This window comes from Homo sapiens, chromosome 2 (assembly GCF_000001405.40).
Source record: "Homo sapiens chromosome 2, GRCh38.p14 Primary Assembly".
Classification (NCBI taxonomy): Eukaryota; Metazoa; Chordata; class Mammalia; order Primates; family Hominidae; genus Homo; species Homo sapiens.
This window is the reverse complement of record NC_000002.12, coordinates 189,879,293-189,901,871: the sequence shown is the minus strand read 5'-3', so window position 1 is coordinate 189,901,871 and position 22,579 is coordinate 189,879,293. Positions and strand designations below refer to the sequence as shown.

The 22,579-nt window shown below is 37.4% G+C and overlaps 1 protein-coding gene across 2 annotated transcripts in view; it reads right to left on the bottom strand.

The window, feature by feature from the left end:
* The window catches only part of AKAP19 (A-kinase anchoring protein 19), a 323,923-nt gene extending 301,613 nt beyond the window's left edge, over window positions 1-22,310 (bottom strand). The window contains exons 1-2 of one of the 2 annotated variants that reach the window (XM_047446008.1): window positions 22,194-22,310; window positions 4,309-4,361 (exon numbers count right to left, since the gene is read on the bottom strand). The gene's annotated coding sequence lies outside the window, so the exon portion shown is untranslated. The remainder of the gene's footprint in view (window positions 1-4,308; window positions 4,362-22,193) is intronic. The other variant, XM_047446009.1, reaches the window with a different exon arrangement.

The window sequence follows — 22,579 nt, the reverse complement described above, 5'->3', positions numbered from 1 at the left end:
GAAAAATGCAAACATACAGTAACTTAGTCAAGGGAATATAGCTAACAGCAGATATACCTGAGTGTACATAATAATTTAGCATAAGATAAAGGTAGCATTTCAAGTAAATGGGAATTATTTATTAAGTTTGAGGGACAACTGGCTAACATTTTTGGGGAAAAAAGGTAAATACCCATGTTCCTTCTTATACCAAATGAATTTCCATATGAATTTTAAAGATTTTTATCAAAATGCAGCCGGGCATGGTGACTCACACATGTAATCCCAGCACTTTGGGAGGCAGAGATGGGCAGATCACTTGAGGCCAGGAGTTTGAGACCAGCCTGGCCAACATGATGAAACCCCGTCTTTACTAAAACTACAAAAATTAGCCAGGTGTGGTGGCATTTGCCTGTAGTCCCAGCTACTCGGGAGGCTGAGGCAGGAGAATAGCTTGAACCCAGAGGCAGAGGTTGCAGTGAGCCAAGGTCACGCCACTGCATTCCAGCCTGGGCAAGTGAGTGAGACTCTGTCTCAGAAAAAAGAAAAGAAAGAAGAACAAGAAAACATAAATATCTACTTACGTAATTTTAAATTGTGATTATTCTCTTTAGGAAGGACACCAAGAGCAAAAATCGTTTAAAAAAAAAACTCTCTAATATATTTGATGACACAAAAACCCCAAAACATCTACATGGCAAAATATACCACCATCAAGTTCAATGCACATAATAAATTAGTAATTTTTTTTTCAGAATATAGTGTAGAGTCCTAATAAGAGAAAAGGGGTCAGGCTGACAGGAGCAGGGGAAAGCAAAAAGAGAAAGCAGATAAGCTGTTAAGTCTGCCTTTCCTCTGGTCCAGGACACAGACCTCCCGTGCAAATAACTCACAATCGTCCTGCAGCTGACTTATCACCAGACCATTGGCTGATAGAAAAATGCAAGTTAGCTCACTGCAACCTTGGTGTTATCAGTAGCGTACGTAGCCTTCTCCAGCACAAAGCACAAGTATCATCCCATAAAATCCCCAGCAAGCCTTTGTCTCCTTGCAGTCAGCTCCTGTCTTGCCCATTTGCCCACTGCCCTTGCAACGCATTTTCATACTTTCTCTAATAAACCTGCCTTTCTTTATCTGGAACTGTCTTGGTAAATTCTTTTTACTGCCCACATGACATTGGCCCCAGAGAGTCGACACCCACAACATATGGGACAAAGTTTTACTCCCCAGTATAGTAGTTCTAACAAATAATAAAATACTGACACTCTAAACAGAAAAAAAAGAAACTGGTAAAGACAGAGCACAGCATTCACAAGAAAAATAGAATTACTAATTAACATACTAAAATATTTTCATATTCATGAGTAATCAAAGAAATGCATATTAAAATAATACTGAGATATTTTATTTGGATATTTTATTTGCTTGCTGAGCAAAGATAGCTTGTGTTGGCAAAGGTGCAAGAAAATCTCCACTGACCGTTAAGAACTATCATTTTGGGGGGGAATACATGTGATAATATGCAAAACATCTTCTTGAAAAAGTCACATTCCTTTTTTTTTAACCTTTAGGCTCTGTTGGACTTGAAAAAAAGTCGCATTCTTTGTTCTAAAAATTTCACATTTGTGAATTTATCCCGAAGAAACAAACAAATGGGCATATATTTTTGAAAAATGCATTTCATTATAAACAATTGTTTATAATTAAAAATATTGGAAACAAACTAAATTGCAACAATTCAATACTGTTTTAAGTTGTTAGCAAATTCATATAATGAAATAATATGCTGCAAGCAAGATAGTGATTCTAGTCTATATTAATGACATGAAAATATATGACTATATTTACTGTTCATGTTTATTGACAAACCAGAAAAGCAATATGCAGACGAGGATGTTTAATACTATTATAATTTCCATGAATACTATATATGTGCACAGAAACAAAATTTTTTTAAAGGATAGAAATTGTATCTAGGTAGGGATTTAGATTTGTTTTCCTTTAAAATTTTCTACCATTTCTAAAATAAATAGCAACATTTTTGCAATTCATGAATTAATCTAAAAACTAAATAGTAGGTAAAAAGTAAAGAAATATAGATAATACTTTTATAATAACAGAATATAAAAGAAAGGAAAGAGGGTAATAGTCAAAGGGGTAATCTATGAGGAAAAAAACAAAAGGCAGACAGTAGTCGCATAGACAACAGAGATGAAAAAGGGCAACAGCCAAATGAAGGAAAAAACACACATTTATGTATGCACATTCATACACTGTTTGGGCCATAGGAAAAAAAATCAAATTTATTACAGAAACAAGTTTGAATCCATTGACAAAGATCCTCAAGGAGACCATGCAGCAAGAAAGAGTGGAGGCTGAACAACCATTTATTACCCCATTTCTGACAAGATGGTTACCAATTATCTCAATGAAAATAATAACAGAGTAGCTTAGGAAACATTAGAGTTAATATTTTCCAAGGAATCTATATGAAGGAGAGGAGATCACATAAAGGTAATACAAAACAGAATTACTAAGCTAGCTGATTCATATGAAAATACTTTGCAAACTGCTAAGAGTCACAGCAGTGACATTATCACTAAGCTATAAAAACTGTGTTACTGAGGTCAGCCCAGAACAATAACTAGCTTATAAAACATAAAGAAGAGGGTGCTCAATTTGTTTAGGGAAATCAAGAAAGAATTCTCAATAAGTAATATTAATTCTGAGTCTTGTAAGATAAATAGAAGTTTGCTGGGTAGCTCTAGAACTGACATGGTGTAGAGGAGGGATTAGGTAGGTGGAAATTGGATATGTATATTCTAAAGCAAGGAATGTATACAGAAGCAGGAAAGAACAAGGCTTATTTTAGATAAGTTCAAGCAACTTAACATGTCAAAGTTCATGTAGAAGATAAAAAAGTATTTGGAAATAAGGCTGAAAATGTATATGGAGGTCAGACTATAAAGTGCTTGATATATCATACTAAGAAGGTTGACTATAACAAGGAACACAAGAGAGTGATTTGATTAGATTTGCATTTGAGAAAGGTTCTTTCGTTGCAATATGGGATATAGACAAGACCTGGGTAGTACTAGAAGGGACTAGTTCGAGGACTTTTAAAATGACTGAGGCCAGAAGTGATTAGAGCTTGAATGAGGGCAGTGGCAGTATAGGTTGAGAAGAGGAAAGAGACTCAAAAACTTTCAAGTAGAACTGACAAGATAATCAGGGAGATGTTAAAATGGTTCCCATGTTCCCAACTTGAGAGCTTGGGTGGACTCTATAATGGTGATTATGTGTATATAAGTGCATGTGAACTAAAAGCATATATACACATGCCAAAAGAAGATATGAGTAGAGAGGCATGTGGGCACACTGGGAAATGAAAAAGGCAATATGCAAAATGCAGTACAAATAATGTGTGGATGAGAGAAAAGATGAAAGTAGGTGGGAAATTATGTTTGTGGGGATGCTTTAAAAAAAAATAGAAGCCTTTATTTTCATTTCAAATCACCAATAAGCTGTACTTAAAATTCAGGCAATGCCTAGCTCTCTACATGAGTTTATACAAAGGGCTTAGAACGGTGTCTAGTAAATAGTAAGTTTTCAATGGATGTTAGCTATTATATTACTACCCTGAATCATCCAAAAGCTGCTTTAGTTCCTATTCTCTCACTTTTTTTTTTTTTCATTTTTTGGAGACAGGGTCTTGTTCTGTAGCCTAGGCTGGCATGATCACAGTTCTCTGCAGCCTCAACCTCCCAGGGCTCAAGCCAAGAGATCTTCCACCTCAGCCTTCTGAGTACATGTGTGCTACCATGGGAGGCTAATTTTTATATTTTTTGTAGAGATGGGGTTTTCACAATGTTGCCCTGGCTGGTCTCAAACTCCTGGGCTCAAGCGATCCACCGTCTCAGCCTCCCAAAGTGCTGGGACTACAAGTGTGAACCACTGAGGCCAGCCCTACTCTCACTTTTCTATTTCATTCAATTATAAGTTCTAGAGAGGATTTAGTAAAATGTCTGGGGTACATATAACTTCTAAATTATTCAACACTGTTACCCATTCAGAGCATTTTGCTGAAATAAAGATTATTTGTTTATTCAAAACAAAGAGAAGTTGGAAGATAAGCTTTCATTAATTTAATTAATTTGCCCCAAGAAATATATAAAACTTAACCAACCTAAGTAGATATTACACTGATAGTTTTTCAGATCTACCTTAGAAAGATATTTTATGCCATTGAAAGCTGATGCAAACTATTTCCAAAATAGATTTGTAAGAGAAGGATCTAAGAAGAAAGGATAGAGAAATTCAGTAAATTACCAGATTTGCTTAAGATGGGTCTCCAAAATGTTCTTATTATTGTCTTTGAAGAACTGTAAAAAATCAGACCAAAAATATTCATATTCTAAAGCAAACTTCACAGAATACATAATATTTTAACTATGTAGTTAAAAAGGGGCTTTCATTAGCTTAATAGAAAGTTAACTGTAATTTACAGTATCAAATTATTGTCAATATCTAATAATTAAGATGGTACCTAATTCTAAAACACTGTCATGATGAATAGCTTACCAAAAATTATATATAACAAGGTTTGTTATACTTAGGTGCACAGAGACAGACTCTGTGTTTTAAAAATGATTTGCTTTTTAATTGTAAAATTCCCTTAAGAAATAGATAAAAAGAAATAAGAAATACGAAGTAATATTTGTTGAGTATCTGCTATATCCCAAGCTTTGCACTAGTTGCTTTACATTTTCTCTCAGTCTTTACAAACTCTTCAAAGTAAACATTATCCCCATTCAACATAGAGGAAGTACATTCATTGAAAAGTTAACAGTCTACAGTAACACAGCTAGTAATGAATAGAGCTGGAATTCAGTTCTGAAGCTATCCTGCCTCAAAGTCCACAGTCTTACATCATATTGCATTACTGATTTTGAAATTCAGGACATATATGCCTTATATTTGAATAAAAGTTAAAATTAAAAAATATATATTAAATATATTTCACTGACATATCATGTGCTTCTTTTGAACTACCATCTTCACTTATAGTTTCTCTTTCTTTATCCTTTGGGGAAAGAAAAATGTAATATGAGGACCCATCTTACATGCATATGAAAGTAGATAATATTCTCCAAACAGCAAAAATATATCCCTATATTGCCTAAAATTCAATTAATTAGAGACTGAATCTTAAGATCCAAATATTCCAGTCATTCATATTATGTTTTCTCCCTTTATGATAGAATGCATCTTTATATCATTTGCATTGATATAAACCACTTCTATCTGATTCCTTTTCCTTTAACGTTTAGCCAAGATCAACCAAATTCAGAAAAAGGGAGGTATATTTGGTAGTTGGGAAAGAACAAATAAGAGATAATCTGGAAACATTTAGGCCCATATGGAACGCGGGAAAAAGTACAGAGACAGGAATAAGTACAAGGAACCTAGAAAGCCATGACACAAAGAAAGATAACAAAATGTACATTTTCCCCTAGGCAAATATAAGAATATTTGTTGTTATGAAAATCAAGATAAAATTAAATTTAAAGCATCTTTTTGTCCATGTATAGCATAAACTCAACATTCTTGTTAAGTTCCATCTTTGTCATCCTCCAAAGTCACTAACACATTTTACTGGCAAGTATCAGAACTAGAAAACTGAAAAAATATATATGCTTTAAAATTTTACTATGATTGAATTTAAGTTTAGAAATAATATATTTGTATATCTCAAGAAAGTCAAATTCTTCTTCAAGTTCTTCTAAAGAAACTTCTATTAATATACTGAAAGAACACAATGAATGTGAGATGACTAAAACATACATAAATGAAATTTTAGCAGTATGTTTTTTTTTTTTTTTTTGAGACAGGGTCTCACTTTGTTGCCCAGGCTGGTGTGCAGTGGCACGATCTTGGCTCACTGCAACCTCCGTCTCCTGAGTTCCTGATTCTTATGCCTCAGCCCCTGGAGTAGCTGGGACTATAGGCATGTACCACCGTGACTGGGTAATAGCACTATGATTTTCTAAACTGATCTCCCACCTCTCTTCTTATTCATTCTGATTCATCTTAAGCATGCTTTTAAACTAATATTCCTTATATATAGTTCTGATTGTGTTACCTTCCTATTCAAAAACATTTAGTTGCTCTTTCCAATGTTGAAAACCTTTAGCCTGATATTCAAGTCCCCTCAATATTTGGTCCCAAATAAAACATTAATCCTATTTCCCATGATGCTTCTCCTTTGGAGAGCAAGGGCAGTAAGACCAGTATTGGTACATTAACACCTGCAGAGTTAGAACTGGAGAAAAAGAGAGCTAAATAAAGTATTTTATTCAAAAATACAAATATTAATAGATTGCCTTCTGGGTTAGGCTCCAGTAGTACTAGAAGAGACTAGTTTGATTATCGCTAGGCAATAAAGATAAAGAGAAGTGAAGCAATATAAGAAAAGTCACAATACTTACTGACTTTAATATAAGCACTGAATGAATGGTCAACACAAGTGCTAGGGTATAGGAGTTCAGTGTTAAAAATAAAAATAGGAGATTTTGGCCAGCTGGAGTATCCAGGCATTAGGATTACATACTAGTGCAGAACCTTATAAAATGCAAGTAGAGGAGAAAACGGTGGAAGTTTCGTGGTGATCTTCCTTTTCACTCCCTTTCTTCTTCTCTAATCAGACTGTTTTCTTCCACTTTCTCTTTCCTTTGCTCTTTCATTTTAATATTTTCTTTTATGTTAATGGTTGTGATCTAATTTTATTTCTTCATTAATTGTAACCAATTGCATGTCCTTTTTGCAAATAGTGTTCAAGTCACTTTTTTGTTTTTTTTCTTTCATTAGTGTTGTTCTTTCAATTGTCTAGAATTCAGTACTGAGAAGTTTTAAATATTTAATATTAATGTTTAATACTCAATATTTTATATTTGATTCTAAATTTTCTAAATTGTAATTGGTACTTTTTGGTTAAGGTTTTTAAGTATGGCCTTTACATTTTAAATATATAAATCACAAAAACAAATCTTTCCTGATATTTGAAATAAGATATTATGAGAGGCATTTTAAGAAAAGACATCAAAAACTTTCACATTAAGAAAATGAGACTATTTCAAGCATAAGAAATATTGTTTATATAACATAATGATATGTATTAATTTTTCTATATATTAACATTTAATACTATATAATAATGTAGTAACAAATAACAATACTATATAATAATATTTAAGAGGAAAACTAAAAGTAGAAAGAAACTTATGTAAATAAAATTTAATTGTCTGATATGGTCATGAGAAGACAGAGACCAGATGAGGTGATCCGAGAAGAAAAAAGTCTAAAATTGATTAGGTAGTTTCAAGCATTATTGAAACTCAGTGAGTTCAGTGAGCTTTAGTTCTTGTTTCTAACTCAATAATAAACAAGATTTTATTTGAGGATGCCCAAAAGATGTGGATGCAAATTCTACCTGTGGAAGAAATAGGTAAGATAGAAAAACAACTTCAGATATCCATTCTAAGAGAAAGGGGCATTTGATCAGGGAGATTAAACTGAATATTACTTCATAAATGTGTTATAATATAAAGAAAATTATTTTAATCTACCCTTAAGCTGCAAAGTTCATTTATCTTTCAAAGATTCTGTATATAAGTATCTGATAGTAGAAGTATTCATTCTGCTCTTCTAAGACATGAATATCACACTAATTTTTATTTTTAAAAGCAGCATCTAAAGAGATTCTTGGTCTATTACCTAATGTACAAGGATATATATTTGGTAAACACATTTTCTGAGATAATTGTTTTTATTGAAGCCAGACCCTTCCACCAGTGCCCATCCGTATAATGTGGCCTTTCCTAATGGTACTATAATGTATGCAGATAGATGCAAATTGAGTCACCCGTAATGCCTATGATGTCTGGAAATTTATATATACAGTCATCTCTTGATATGCCCAGGGGATTAGTTCCAGGACCAATCCACATAGTGGATGCCAAAACCCACAGATGCTAAAGTCCCTTATAATAAAATGGCAGAGTATTTTCATATAACATATGTACATACTCCTATATTGTTATTTTTTTATTGCCTTTTTTTCCCCAAATGTTTTGATTTGCAGTCAGTTGAACTTACGAATGCAGAACCCATGGTTAGAGAGGGCCAGCTGTACAGATAAAAGCAAGCACAAAGGTGGCTGGCACGATGGCCGAACAGGAACAGCTCTGGTCTGCAGCTCCCAGTGAGATCAACACAGAAGGCAGGTGATTTCTGCATTTACAACTGAGGTACCCGGCTCATTTCACTGGGACTGGTTAGAAAGCAGGTGCAGCCCATGGAGGGCAAGCTGAAGCAGAGTAGGGCATCGCCTCACCCGGCAAGTGCAAGGGGTCAGGGGACTCCCTCTCCTAGCCAAGGGAAGCCTTGAGGGACTGTGCCATGAGGAATGGTGCACTCTGGCCCAGATACTATGCTTTTCCCATGGTCTTCACAAACTGCAGACCAGAAGATTCCTTCAGGTGCCTACGCCACCAGGGCCCTGGGTTTCAAGCACAAAACTGGGCGGCTGTTTGGGCAGACACTGAGCTAGCTGCAGGAGTTTTCTTTCATACCCCAGTGGTGTCTGGAACACCAATGAGACAGAACTGTTCACTCCTCCGGAAAGGGGGCTGAAGCCAGTGAGCTAACTGATCTAGCTCAGTAGAGCCCAGCAAGCTAAGATCCACTGGCTTGAAATTCTCACTGCCAGCACAGCAGTCTGAAGTCGACCTGGGACACCTGAACTCAGTAGGGGGAGGGGCGACGGCCATTACTGAGGCTTGAGTAGGCGATTTTCCCCTCACAGTGTAAACAAAGCCACCAGGAAGTTGGAACTGGGCAGAGCCTACCGCAGCTAGGCAAAGCTGCTGTAGCCAGATTGCCTCTCTAGATTCCTCCTCTCTGGGCAGGGCATCTCTGAAAGAAAGGCAGCAGCCTCTGTCAGGGGCTTAGAGACAAAACTCCCATCTCCCTGGGACAGAGCACCTGGGGGAAGGGGTGACTCTGGGTGCAGCTTCAGCAGACTTAAACATTCCTGCCTACCAGCTCTGAAGAGAGCAGCAGATCTCCCAGCACAGCACTCAAGCTCTGCTAATGGGCAGACTGCCTCCTCAAGTGGGTCTCTGACCCCTGTGCCTCCTGACTAGGAGACACCTCCCAGCAGGGGTTGATAGACACCTCATACAGGAGAGCTCTGGCTGTCAACTGGCAGGTGCCCATCTGGGACGAAGCTTCCAGAGGAAGGAACAGGCAGCAATTTTTGCTGCTCTGCAGCCTCTGCTGGTGATACCCATGCAAACAGGGTCTGGAATGGACCACCAGCAAATACCAGCAGACCTGCATCAGAGGGGCCTGTTAGAAGGAAAACTAACAAACATAAAGGAATAGCATCAACATCAACAAAAAGGATGTCTACACAGAAACCGCACCCGAAAGTCACCAACATCAAAGACCAAAGGTAGATAAATCCACGAAGATGAGAAAAACCCAGTGCAAAAAGGCTGAAAATTCCAAAAACCAAAACGCCTCTTCTCCTCCAAAGGATCACAACTCCTCGCCAGCAAGGGAACAAAACTGGACAGATAATGAGTTTGACGAATTGATGGAAGTAAGTTTCAGAAGGTGGGTAATAACGAACTCCTCTGAGCTAAAGGAGCATGTTCTAATGCAATGCACGGACGCTAAGAACCATGAAAAAAGGTTATAGGAATTGCTAACTACAATAACCAGTTTAGAGAAGAACATAAATGACCTGACGAGCTGAAAAACACAGCATGAGAACTTCGTGAAGCATACACAAGTATCAATAGCTGAATCGATCAAGCAGAAGAAAGGATATCAGAGATTGAAAATCAACTTAATGAAATAAAGTGTGAAGACAAGATTAGAGAAAAAAGAGTGAAAAGGAATGAACAAAACCTCCAAGAAATACGGGACTATGTGAAAAGACCAAATCTACATTTGATCAGTGTACCTGAAAGTGATGGGCAGAACAGAACCAAGTTGGAAAACACTCTTCAGGATATTATTCAGTAGAACTTTCCCAACCTAGCAAGACAGGCCAACATTCAAATCCAGGAAATACAGAGAATACCACAAAGATACACCTTGAGAACAGCAACCCCAAGACACATAATCATTAGATTCACCAAGGTTGAAATAATGGAAAAAATGTTAAGGGCAGCCACAGAGAGAGGTCGGGTTACCCACAAAGGGAAGCCCATCAGACTAACAGCAGATCTCTCTGCAGAAACCCTAACAAGCCAGAAGAGAGCGCGGGCCAATATTCAACATTCTTAAAGAAAAGAATTTTCGGCCGGGTTTGGTGGCTCACATCTGTAATCCCAGCACTCTGGGAGGCCGAGGTGGGCAGATCATGAGGTCAGGAGATTGAGACCATCCTGACTAACACGGTGAAACCCCGTCTCTACTAAAAATACAAAAAATTAGCCAGGCATGGTGGCATGGGGCTGTAGTCCCAGCTACTTGGGAGGCTGAGGCAGGGGAATCGCTTGAACCCGGGAGGCAGAGGTTGCAGTGAGCCGAGATCACACCACTGCACTCCAGCATGGGCAACAGAATGAGACTGTCTCAAAAAAAAAAAAAAAAAAAAGGAAAAAAAAAGAACTTTCAACCTAGAATTTCATATCTAGCCAAACTAAGCTTCATAAGTGAAGGAGAAATAAAATCCCTCACAGACAAGCAAATGCTGAGAGATTTTGTCACCACCAGGCCTGCCTTACAAGAGCTCCTGAAGGAAGCACTAAATATAGAAAGGAAAAACCGATACCAGCCACTGCAAAAACATACCAACTTGAAAGACCATCGACACTATGAAGAAATTGCATCAACTAACGGGGAAAATAACCAGCTAGCATGATAATGACAGGATCAAATTCACACATAATATTAACTTTAAATGTAAATGGGCTAAATGCCCCAATTAAAAGACACAGATTGGCAAATTGGATAGAGTCAAGACCCATCAGTGTGCTGTATTCAGGAGACACATCTCATGTGCAGAGACACATATAGGCTCAAAATAAAGGGATGGAGGAATATTTACCAAGCAAATAGAAAGCAAAAAAGGCAGGGGTTGCCATCCTAGTCTCTGATAAAACAGACTTTCAACTAACAAAGATTTTTAAAAAAAGACAAAGAAGGGCATTATATAATGGTAAAGGGATCAATGCAACAAGAAGAACTATCCTAAATATATATGCACCCAATACAGGAGCACCTAGATTCATAAAGCAAGTTCTTAGAGACTTACAAAGAGACTTAGACTCCCACACAATAATAGTGGGAGACTTTAACACCCCACTGTCAATATTAGATAGATCAACAAGACAGAAAATTAACAAGGATATTCAGGACTTGAACTCAGCTCTGGACCAAACAGACCTAATAGACATCTACAGAACTCTCTACCCAAAATCAACAGAATATACATTCTTCTCAGCACCACATTGCACTTATTCTAAAATTGACCGCATAATTAGAAAACACTCCTCAGGAAATGCAAAAGAACAGAAATAATAACAAACTGTCTCTCAGACCACAGTGCAATCAAATTAGAACTCAGAATTAAGAAACTCACTTGAAACCACACAACTACATGGAAGCTGAACAACCTGCTCCTGAATGACTACTGGGTAAATAACAAAATTAAGGCAGAAATAAATAAGTTCTTTGAACAATGAGAACAAAGACACAAAGTACCAGAATCTCTGGGACACAACTAAAGCAGTGTTTAGAGGGAAATTTATAGCACTAAATGCCCACAGGAGAAAGCAGCAAAGATGCAAAATTGACACCCTAACATCACAATTAAAAGAACTAGAGAAGCAAGAGCAAACAAATTCAAAAGCTAGCAGAAGACCAGAAATAACTAAGATCACAGCAGAACTGAAGGAGATAGAGACACGAAAAACCCTTTAAAAACTCAATCAATCCAAGACCTGGTTTTTTGAGAAGATTAACAAAATAGACCACTAGCCAGACTAATAAAGAAGAAAAGAGAGAAGAATCAAATAGACACAATACAAAATGATAAAGGGAATTTCACCACTGATCCCACAGAAACACAAACTACCATCAGATAATACTATAAACAACTCTATGCAAATAAACTAGAAAATGCAGAAGAAATGGATGAATTCCTGGACACATACACCCTCCCAAGACTAAACCAGGAAGAAGTTGAATCCCTGAATAGGCCAATAATAAGTTCTGAAATTGAGGCAGTAATTAATGGCCTACCAACCAAAAAAAGCCCAGGACCAGACAGATTCACAGCCGAATTCTACCAGAGGTACAAAGAGGAGAGGGTACCATTCCTTCTGAAACTATTCCAAACAATAGAAAAAGAGGGAATCCTCCTTAAGTCACTTCATGAGGCCAGTATCATCCTGATAACAAAACCTGGCAGACACAAAAAAGAAAATTTCAGGCCAATATCACTGATGAACATCAATGCGAAAATCCTCAATAAAATACTGGCAAGCCGAATGCGTCAGCACATCAAAAAGCTTATCCAACACGATCAAGTCGGCTTCATCACTGGGATGCAAGACTGGTTCAATATATATAAATCAATAAACGTAATCCATCACATTTACAGAACCAATGACAAAAACCCATGATTTTCTCAATAGATGCAGAAAAGGCCTTTGACAAAATACAACACCCCTTCATACTAAAAACTCTCAATAAACTAGGTATTGATAGAACATATCTCAAAATAATAAGAGCTATTTATGACAACCCCACAGCCAATATCATACTGAATGGGCAAAAGCTGGAAGCATTCCCTTTGAAAACTGGCACAAGACAGGGATGCCCTCTCTCACCACTCTTATTCAACATAGTATTGGAAGTTCTCCAATCAGGCAAGAGAAAGAAAGAAAGGGTATTCAAATGGGAAGACAGGAAGTCAAATTGTCCCTGTTTGCAGATGACATGATTGTATATTTAGAAAACCCCATCATCTCAGCTCAAAATCTCCTTAAGCTGACAACCAACTTCAGCAAAGTCTCAGGATACAAAATCAATGTGCAAAAATCACAAGCATTCTTAAACACCAATAACAGACAAACAGAGAGCCAAATCATGAGTGAACTCCCATTCACAATTGCTACAAAGAGAATAAAATACCTAGGAATACAACTTACAAGGGATGTGAAGGACCTCTTCAAGGAGAACTACAAACCACTGCTCAAGGAAATAAGAGAGGACACAAACAAATGGAAAAACATTCCATGCTCATGAATAGGAAGAATCAATATCATGAAAATGGCCATACTGCCCAAAGTAATTTATAGATTCAATGCTATCCCCATCAAGCTACCATTGAGTTTCTTCACAGATTTACAAAAAACTACTTTAAATTTCAAAAAAGAGCCTGAAAAGCCAAGACAATCCTAAGCAAAAAGAACAAAGCTGGAAGCATCATACTACCTGACTTCAAACTATACTACAAGGCTACAGTAACCAAAACAGCATGGTACTGGTACCAAAATAGATATATAGACCAATGGAATAGAACAGGCCTCAGAAATAATCCCGCCTATCTACAACCATTTGATCTTTGATAAACCTGACAAAAACAAGCAATGGGAAAAGGATTCCCTATTTAAAAAATGGTGTTTGGAAAACTGGCTAGCCAGATGCAGCTAAAACTGGACCCCTTCCTTATACCTTATACAAAAATTAACTCAAGATGGATTAAAGACTTAAACATAAGACCTAAAACCATAAAAACCCTAGAAGAAAACCTAGGCAATACCATTAAGGACACAGGCAGGGGCAAAGACTTCATGACTAAAACACCAAAAGCAATGGCAACAAAAGCCAAAATTGACAGATTGGATCTAATTAAACTAAAGAGCTTCTGCAGGGCAAAAGAAACTATCATCAGAGTGAACAGGCAACCTACACAATGGGAGAAAATTTTTGCAATCTATCCATCTGAGAAAGGGCTAATATCCAGAATCTACAAATAAACAAATTTACAAGAAAAAAAAACCATCAAAAAGTGGGTGAAGGATATGAACAGACACTTCTCAAAAGAAGACATTTATGTGGCCAAGAAACATGAAAAAAAGCTCATCATCACTGGTCATTAGAGAAATGCAAATGAAAAGCACAATGAGATACCATCTCACACCAGTTAGAATGGAGATCATTAAAAAGTAAAGAAATGACAGATGGTGGAGAGGATGTGGAGAAACAGGAATGCTTTTATGCTGTTGGCAGGAGTGTAAATTAGTTCAATCATTGTGGAACAGTTCCTCAAGGAGCTAGAACCAGAAATACCATTTGACCCAGCAATTCCATTACTTTGGGTATACACCCAAAGGATTATAAATCATTCTATTATAAAGACACATGCACATGTAGGTTTATTGCGGCACTGTCAACAATAGCAAAGACTTGGAACCAACCCAAATGCCCATCAATGATAGACTGGAATAAGAAAATGTGGCACATATACACCATGGAATACTATGCAGTCATAAAAAGGATGAGTTAATGGTCTTTGCAGGGACATGGATGAAGCTGGAAACCATCACTCTCAGCAAATTAACACAGGAACACTGCGTGTTCTCACTCATAAGTGGGAGTTAAACAATGAGAACACATGGACACAGGGAGGGGAACATCACACACTGGGGCCTGTCAGCGGGTGGGAGGCTAGGGAAGGGATAGCATTAGGAGAAATACCTAAAATAGATGATGGGTTGATGGGTGCAGCAAACCACCATGACACGTGTATACCTATGTAACGAATCTGCATGTTCTGCACATGTATCCCAGAAATTAAAGTATAATAATAAAAAAAATTTAAAAAAAAGCAAGAACAAGTCTTATTGAGTTCATCTCCACTAATCTTTGTTCTTCCTTCTAATTTTCAGGGCCTGCATTTTTGTGTGTGTGCTCTAACTACTGCAACAGGCCTCTAACTGGACTTGAGTTTCTCCCTCACACCTTGCTGCCATAGCTTTGTTATGGCACATATGGCACAGTTCTGAATGTTTGCTATGGCACAGTTCTGAATGTTTCATACCTAGTACCTCTATCCTTTTCTTCCCTATGTCTAGAATGCCTTAACTTCTAATTAAGAAACAAAAAAGAAAACCTTCCCAGCCCTCATTGCTGAGCTCAAGTGCCATTTTCTTCATGAAGCTGATCACCTTGCTGATATGACGTTTATTTATTCTGATCCCTCCTGCATTTCTATTCTTCCGACTTAACATTGGTTTATTATGGTTATTTGTGGACTTTTCTCACTTAAGACCAAAATCTTCTTGAGGACAGATTATGTTTTAATTTTGAATTGCTCTGTGTCTTCAATCTCCCAGGATGTTTATGATAGATGTTTGGTAAATACTGAGTAACTAAATAAGTTTATAAATGGGACTAAATCATTCCTTATGAAAGAAGTAATGCTCAAAGGAGAGTGCCTCAAGAACTACTGTGGGGAGCAATATCTAGACAAAACATGACATGGATCAAAGTTAAAAGAAAAGCTAATGTTCAATAAAGTATATTAATTGTTTTCTCACTCCTAGTTTGATTGCCTGGATAGGTGAAAATGGAAAACCCTAGTGGTTGTGTGACAAAGCAACAAATTAGATCTATAAAGAAGCCTCAAAAATACTGGTATCCCCAATCTCCAAGGCATCATAAGACATGACTCATACATAAATTAATACTAGAACATTTAGGCTGGGCACAGTGACTTATGCCTGTAATCCCAGCACTTTGAGAGGCTGAGGCAGGTGGATCACCTGAGGTCAGGAGTTCAAGACCAGCCTGGCCAACATGGTGAAACCCCGTCTCTACTAAAAATACGAAAATTAGCTGGGCTTGGTGGTGGGAACCTGTAATCCCAGCTACTGGGGAGGCTGAGGCAGGTGAATCGCTTGAACCCGGGAGGTGGAGGTTGCAGTGAGCCGAGATTGTACCATTGCACTCCAGCCTGGGTGACAAGAGTCAAATTCCATCTCAATAAAATAAAATAAAATAAAAATTAATGCTAGAACATTTTAATTTAAAAAATGAAATGCTACATATTTATGTAAAAAATCAAGACCATAATATTATTTGTAGAAAACGTCAGATGAATTTCCAATCCCTATACTGATCATTTTCTGGAAGACCAAAAAGGCCTTTCAGTAATAAAACTCCTCAAATTAGCATAATGTAAGTGTTCTGCTTATCTATCTCTTCAAAACAAATCACCACAAAATTTAATGGTTCAGCAATTTTTATTTCATGGTTCTGGGGGTTAACGAGCTCAGCTGGGTGGTTCTCACTTGAGCTACCTCATATAGTTGTAATCAGATGGCTGCTGAGAGTGAAGTTATCCAAAGATGTCTTTACTCAATGTCTGGCACCAGAGCTGAGATGATTGTAACAACTGGGAACTAGTCAAATATCTCTTTCTCCACACATAGTCTCTTTATCTGGCTAGCTTGTACTTTTTACACAATGGCAGACTCAGGGTAGACTGACTTCTCACAAGGTGATTAGCTTCCCCACAGTTACCATTTCAAGATAGCCAGGAAGGCTGCAAGGTTTCTATGACGTAGTTTTGGAAGTTGTATGGCATCACGTCTGTTATAATCTAATGGGCAAAGTAATCATAAACTAGCTCAGATTCGAGAGTGGAGGAACAGATCCCACCTCTTCATGGGGGGTATGCCTATGTGTACAATAAAGAAATGATGGCAGATCCAGCTACCTCATAACATTTTTGAGATATATAAATCTGATTTTCTAAATAAAGAATGATGTCCCATGAGAAAACATAAATCTGACTTCCCAAATAGAGAGCCATAAGCAGATTCATTAATCTGATTATTTTATTTTCAGTGTATATTTGCATTAAAAATCTATCTGTATTCTATTTCAGGAATCTAGCGCTTCAGGATTATGTGCACTCTTGCTAATCCAAGTGTTATCCCTGAACCAGCAGCATCAGCATCACCAGAGAACTTGCTGGAAATGCAGAATATCAGACTCTACCCCAGACCTACTTAATCAGAGAAGCCCAGAGAGATTCATATGCACATTAAAGTTGGAGAAGTCCCATACTCATATACTAGCATAAACAGAGTATCCTCAAACTCATAACAAAGAAACCTACAAAACATGAAGTACTGTCCTTTCAATTTAGGGGCAGAGGATTGGACATTTTATTTTATTTTTTTATGGGGGAATACAGCTAAAACTGAATTGCTTCAATAAAGTCTTTGACAATTTAAAAGCTGAATGTGTGTGTGTGGCTGGGAATCTTGTTTTCATCTGGGATCAAGAATTATTACTATGTATATGGGGAAGTGTTTCTTCTACAACAGCTATTGACTAAGAAAACTAAGGAGAAAAGACCAAAAAAGAGTGCAAATAACTTCAAAATAGATAACGAGTATCATACGTATTTAGTAATTTACATGTAAAAATGTAGAATTTTTTTTTGCTATTGTTATTAGTGAATTACTTAAAATATATTTTTGACAGTACAGCATCACCATCTTGCAAGTTAAGATGCTGTAATTTACCAGTGTCTAAAGTAAAATTAAAGCCACTTTAAAAACAAAAATGCCTCTGTAAAGAAAGAACATGAAAACATACCATTTTTCCCCATAAATATGTTCGCTCCATTCACAATTTCTTGCCTGTTTCTTAACTCATTCATTTCTATCATCTAAATTACAAAACATAACTAAAATACCTATAAGAAAGTTCTTAAATATCAAATAAGTTCAAAATTAAAGATCATTTTAAATTACCAGTCATTACTTTGTCTTATTAAGCATCTGGGTGTAAATGTTAACTAGAAAATTCTATCTGAATATTTAAGTTCTTTATAAATTAAAAAACTATTTAATTTAAGGAACAACTAGAAACTTTAGGTTGGTTTCCAAGAGGGTTCTGCAGACCCATATAGATTAACAATACTACAAAACCTCACCAAAACATTTATATTATATTGCTCTTATTTTGTTTCCTCTAGAGGGCAAGGAATGTCTTCTCTCTATATTCTCTGTTCAGTAGTACTGAGTGCTGTAATAATAAATATCACTGAATAAACTAAGAAATGTAGCTATAAGTAAAGGAGATAGAGATGAAGGAGTTTGTTATAGTGATTTTGTGTCCAACTAAAGTAGAGTGGAAGAAGTCTACCCCTCCCGGCTTTAGTTTAAAAGATTTTATGAAAAAGTGAGCTAGTTCAGAGGTATTTAAATATGTTTAATAGTAGACATAAGTAAGGGGAAAAAGGTTGTTCCAAATCCTGCTGACACTCAAAAAAAAAAAAAAAAAACAGGAAGAAACAAAATAACAGAATGTTAGAAACGATTGTGTACTTGGAGATCAAGTTCAGCATCTTGATTTCAGAGATGAAGAAATGGATGTCTATAACAGCATAGTCAGGTTGAGATCTTCTAAGCCCTGGTTTGTTTTTTGTCTGGCAGATTTTAGTAGAAGTCAGTAAGAAATACGGGCTTATAGAAATTGACTTGAGATTGACTGTTAGGGGAACTTTGATACATGAGATAGAGCAGTGGTTCTCCAAGTGTGGCTCCCTGACAAGTAGCATTAGCATCATCTGGAAACTTACTAGAAGTGAAAATTTTCAGTCCCACCCCAGACTCTCAAGATTAGGAACTGTGGGCACAGTGTCTAACAATCAGCGCTTAATAAGCTCTCCAGGTGATTCTGATTATGCTCAAAGTTGATAACCACTGGGACAGAATTTTTAAAAGCTAGAGAAAATATCTCTACATTAATTTGTAGTGTTTTAAGGAGGAATAGGAATTGTGACCAAAAATCAGGTAAGCAGAGAAAACCTCTGAGAGCAGTTGTGACAGTCCAATAGTGTGTTGCTAGTCTGAAAAAAAAAAATGAACCTTGGGATCCCCAAAATAAGCAAAGGAAAAAGTCAAGCTGTGAACTATAATACATCAGACAAACCTGCCTCCCATTTTATTCCTAAATAAGATGGCTACAAAGATTTTTAAAAGCTATGTACCTCCCTCATATTTTGCCCACAAGGAAATTCCTTGTGGGCCTCAAGATCTTTACCCTAAAACAGTTCTGTTGAATTTCACCCTGGCAATGTAAACTGATAGCTTATCCTCACGGGTTTCGGACAGAAAGTCATCCTTCTGCTCACCTGAGACAAATGCCTGATTGCTTCCTTTGCCCTATTGTTTATATAAAAATTGAGACTCACTGAGCCAGATTAAATTGTGTATTCAATGAAAGGCTGATCAAGGAATCAAAAGAATGCAACCTTTTGTCTCTTGTCTACCTATAACCTGGAAGCCTCTTGATTCAGGTTGTCCTGCCTTTCTGGACTGAACCAATATACATCTTACGCATATTGATTGATGTCTCATGTCTCCCTAAAATGTATAAAAGCAAGCTGTACCCTGACCACTTTTGGGCACACGTCGTAAGGACCTTCTGAGGCTGTGTCACAAGTGTATCCTTAACCTAGGCAAAATAAACTTTCTAAATTGATTGAGATATGTTCTCAGGTTCATACTAGTTATTACTGGAAACAGTGAAGAAGGGTTTAAAAATAAAACTTATCACGTTTAGGTGAGATTAAATGAAAGCTCTAGAATAAAGTTGTGAACTCCGAAAATCTGAGACAGGTCTCAGTTAATTTAGAAAGAATGTCACTTTCTGACAGGCCCAGGAGCCCCAAGTTTATCTTGGAACTTCAGAGAGGAATTCACCCAACTCATAGGTATTTGATGGTACAAATCCATGGCTGGGCTTGGCTTTAAAAAAATTTTATCTGAGATTCCTTCTATGGAACAAAGTTCCATCAAAGCCAATTTAAAAGCCTATGTAAAAACAAATAATTATTCTTGCTGCACTGTATACAAATAGTCAGAACAAGTTTAATAAAGTGAATCAGTTCTACCATGATTTGTCTTTAATAAAAATGGGAAACTGGAGAAAAATTATGTTTCAAAAACTGTAGTACATCTGTTCTTAGATTCTAGTCTTGCCTAATGTTTTTCAATTTTTATTATTTTCTACTTTGGACTGAATTCTAATCTTTCTATTTTGCAGGCTACAAGACTGCAAAATAATGTTTTCAATTTTTTTCCTTCTTTTTCCCCATTTTTCCTAATTTTCAGTCACTGAAAACTAAGCTGTGCTTTCGTAAAGCCCTGCAAAGTGAAGCTAGACAACTTAAACTTCAGAAGAAAATAACAGCAACCTACTTACATACATAAGCCACTTTCATACCTGCCTACAGATCTATGGACTTCAGAACAATGTGGCCTATATAGATTTTCCAGGATTGTTCTTTTGTTTATTGTTTTTCTGCCTTCCTCCCCTTATTTTCTCTTCATAGGACATGAGACTTCACAAACCTGCTAAAATGAGCTTTCCTAATAACTCAGGATCTACTCATCTAGGAAAAAAACATCATTTGGAGAACAATCCTTTGGAGACGCCAATCAGATATGCATTTATTTCAGTGAGCAGACGGGTGACTCTGAACAGAATGGGAGGCAGGTTGGTCCTAAGCAGTTCCCAGCTTGACTTTTCCCTTTAGCTTAGTGATTTAGGAGCCCCAAGATTTATTTTCCTTTCACAAGGTTAACAGTTAACTCTTGATTATTTATGTTTGTAAAGGGAGAAAGGTGACAATCTCAAGTCATTTTTCATTTGGCTTTGCAGTAAAATTTGTTTTTTTTCAGTACTTATCTTTGTTTACAGTAATATAAACATTTAAAGTGGAACTAGTAGAGCACTAGATTAGCTGTGTGTGCTCACGTATGTCATGTATGTATGTCACGTATGTCACTTTGGCCTTCTATTTTCTCATCTGTAAAATTAGTTGGCTCACCTCAAGATTATTTTTAGCCACTATAAATCCATGAACATTGGCTTGCCCGAAATGCTCCACTCCAAGAACAAGTCTAGTCATTTAAATATTTTAGTATCATTACTGGTATTTTAATTTGCCTGGTAACTTTGGTTTAAGTTAGTGATCAACATTTGGGGTCCCCAAATGTATTATTTCCTTTGCATTAATTAGGTACTGTAAAGAGTGTGAAACAAAAATAAAAACTTGGGACCCAATTCACTATGCCAAAAGGAAAAAATTAAGCTGAAAGCTGAGTCATCCAAGAAACTGCCCTTCCTTTGTTCCTAAGCAGATAGCTACAGATAAAAGGTTAAACATCTCACAGTATCTTACGTGAAGTGTGAATTTACTGAGCGTCAGACAATACACTGACTATTCCTTTACCTGCTCCTTTTCTCTTGCAACATGTGGATTCAGTAATGTGACCATATCCTCCCTCCTTCCCTTCCAGCCTGCCTTTCACCATTAAATAGCTCTCAAAATCATCTTTGGAGAAAGGCATACAGACCTGTCTCCCGGGTATGTCCTTAATTTTGACAAAATAAACTTCTAAATTTATTGAGACCTATCTCAGATGCTTTTTGGTTTGCAAAAGTTAAATCTATTTTTGGTTTTCAGTGTAGACCCAAGCCCAAGTTTATTTAGTGGCTTCTGCTCCCTCCTGCCCTCAAAAAAACCACCAAAAAATGCTGGAGGAAGCTTGCAGACATAAGAACATAAGATGAAAATAAAACAGGTAAGAATTTGGAGAGGGAAAAGTGGCTCCTATTTACACTTTTAGTTGAGAAATGCGGGCTGTGCTGGGTTGGGTTGCAATTCCTACAAACTGAGCCACAAAATCTGGATAAAATCACAGAGAATCACGTAGCCAATGAAAGTAACAAAAATCCGTTCATCTGAATACAGGTCTAACATTTTTCGATAAGTTAAATATCTAAAACCTCCTAGGTCTGGCCAGACCATAGATGGCTACCTTCTCAGCAACATGTTCAAGAGGGGCCTGCAGGTCTGACTTCCGTAGGGTTTTGGGTCAGCCCTGTGGCTATAGCGAAGGCTGGGATCCTAAGCAACATACTTGGGTGTAAAGAGCACTTTAGAACTCATACCTTAAAAGTCCTTCTCCCAGGCCAAGGGCTCTGGCAACCCAGCCTAAAGAGGCAAATGGGTAACTTGGGGTGAAGCTTTCCTTTTCCTTCGGATCTCCTCGCCTCGCCCTTAATTCCGGGTAAGCCTCCCAGGCCGCAGCAGCCGTTACCTCCATTCTGGGAGCCAGCGCTTCCCTGTCGCCGCTCCCAGCTTCAGCATTTGGTCCCGCGGGTGGTGCTGGGGCTGTTGTAAGGACTTGTGGAGGATGGGAGCGCTGCGGAAGATTGCCGGGCTTCTGCGTGGTTGCTAGGCTTCCCTTAGCCTCGTCAACCAGGATTGGTCCGTGGGGCAACGCTAGACCCTCACCTGAAGCCCATTCCTGTTCACGCCAGTCTGCTACTCCAGTCACCGTTAGGAAAACGTTGCCGGCCAGGCGCGGTGGGTAATCCCAGCACTTTGGGAGGCTGAGGCGGGGCAATCGCTTGAGGTCAGGACCTCCAGACCAGCCTGGCCAACATGGTGAAACCCCGTCTCTACCAAAAAATACAAAATTTA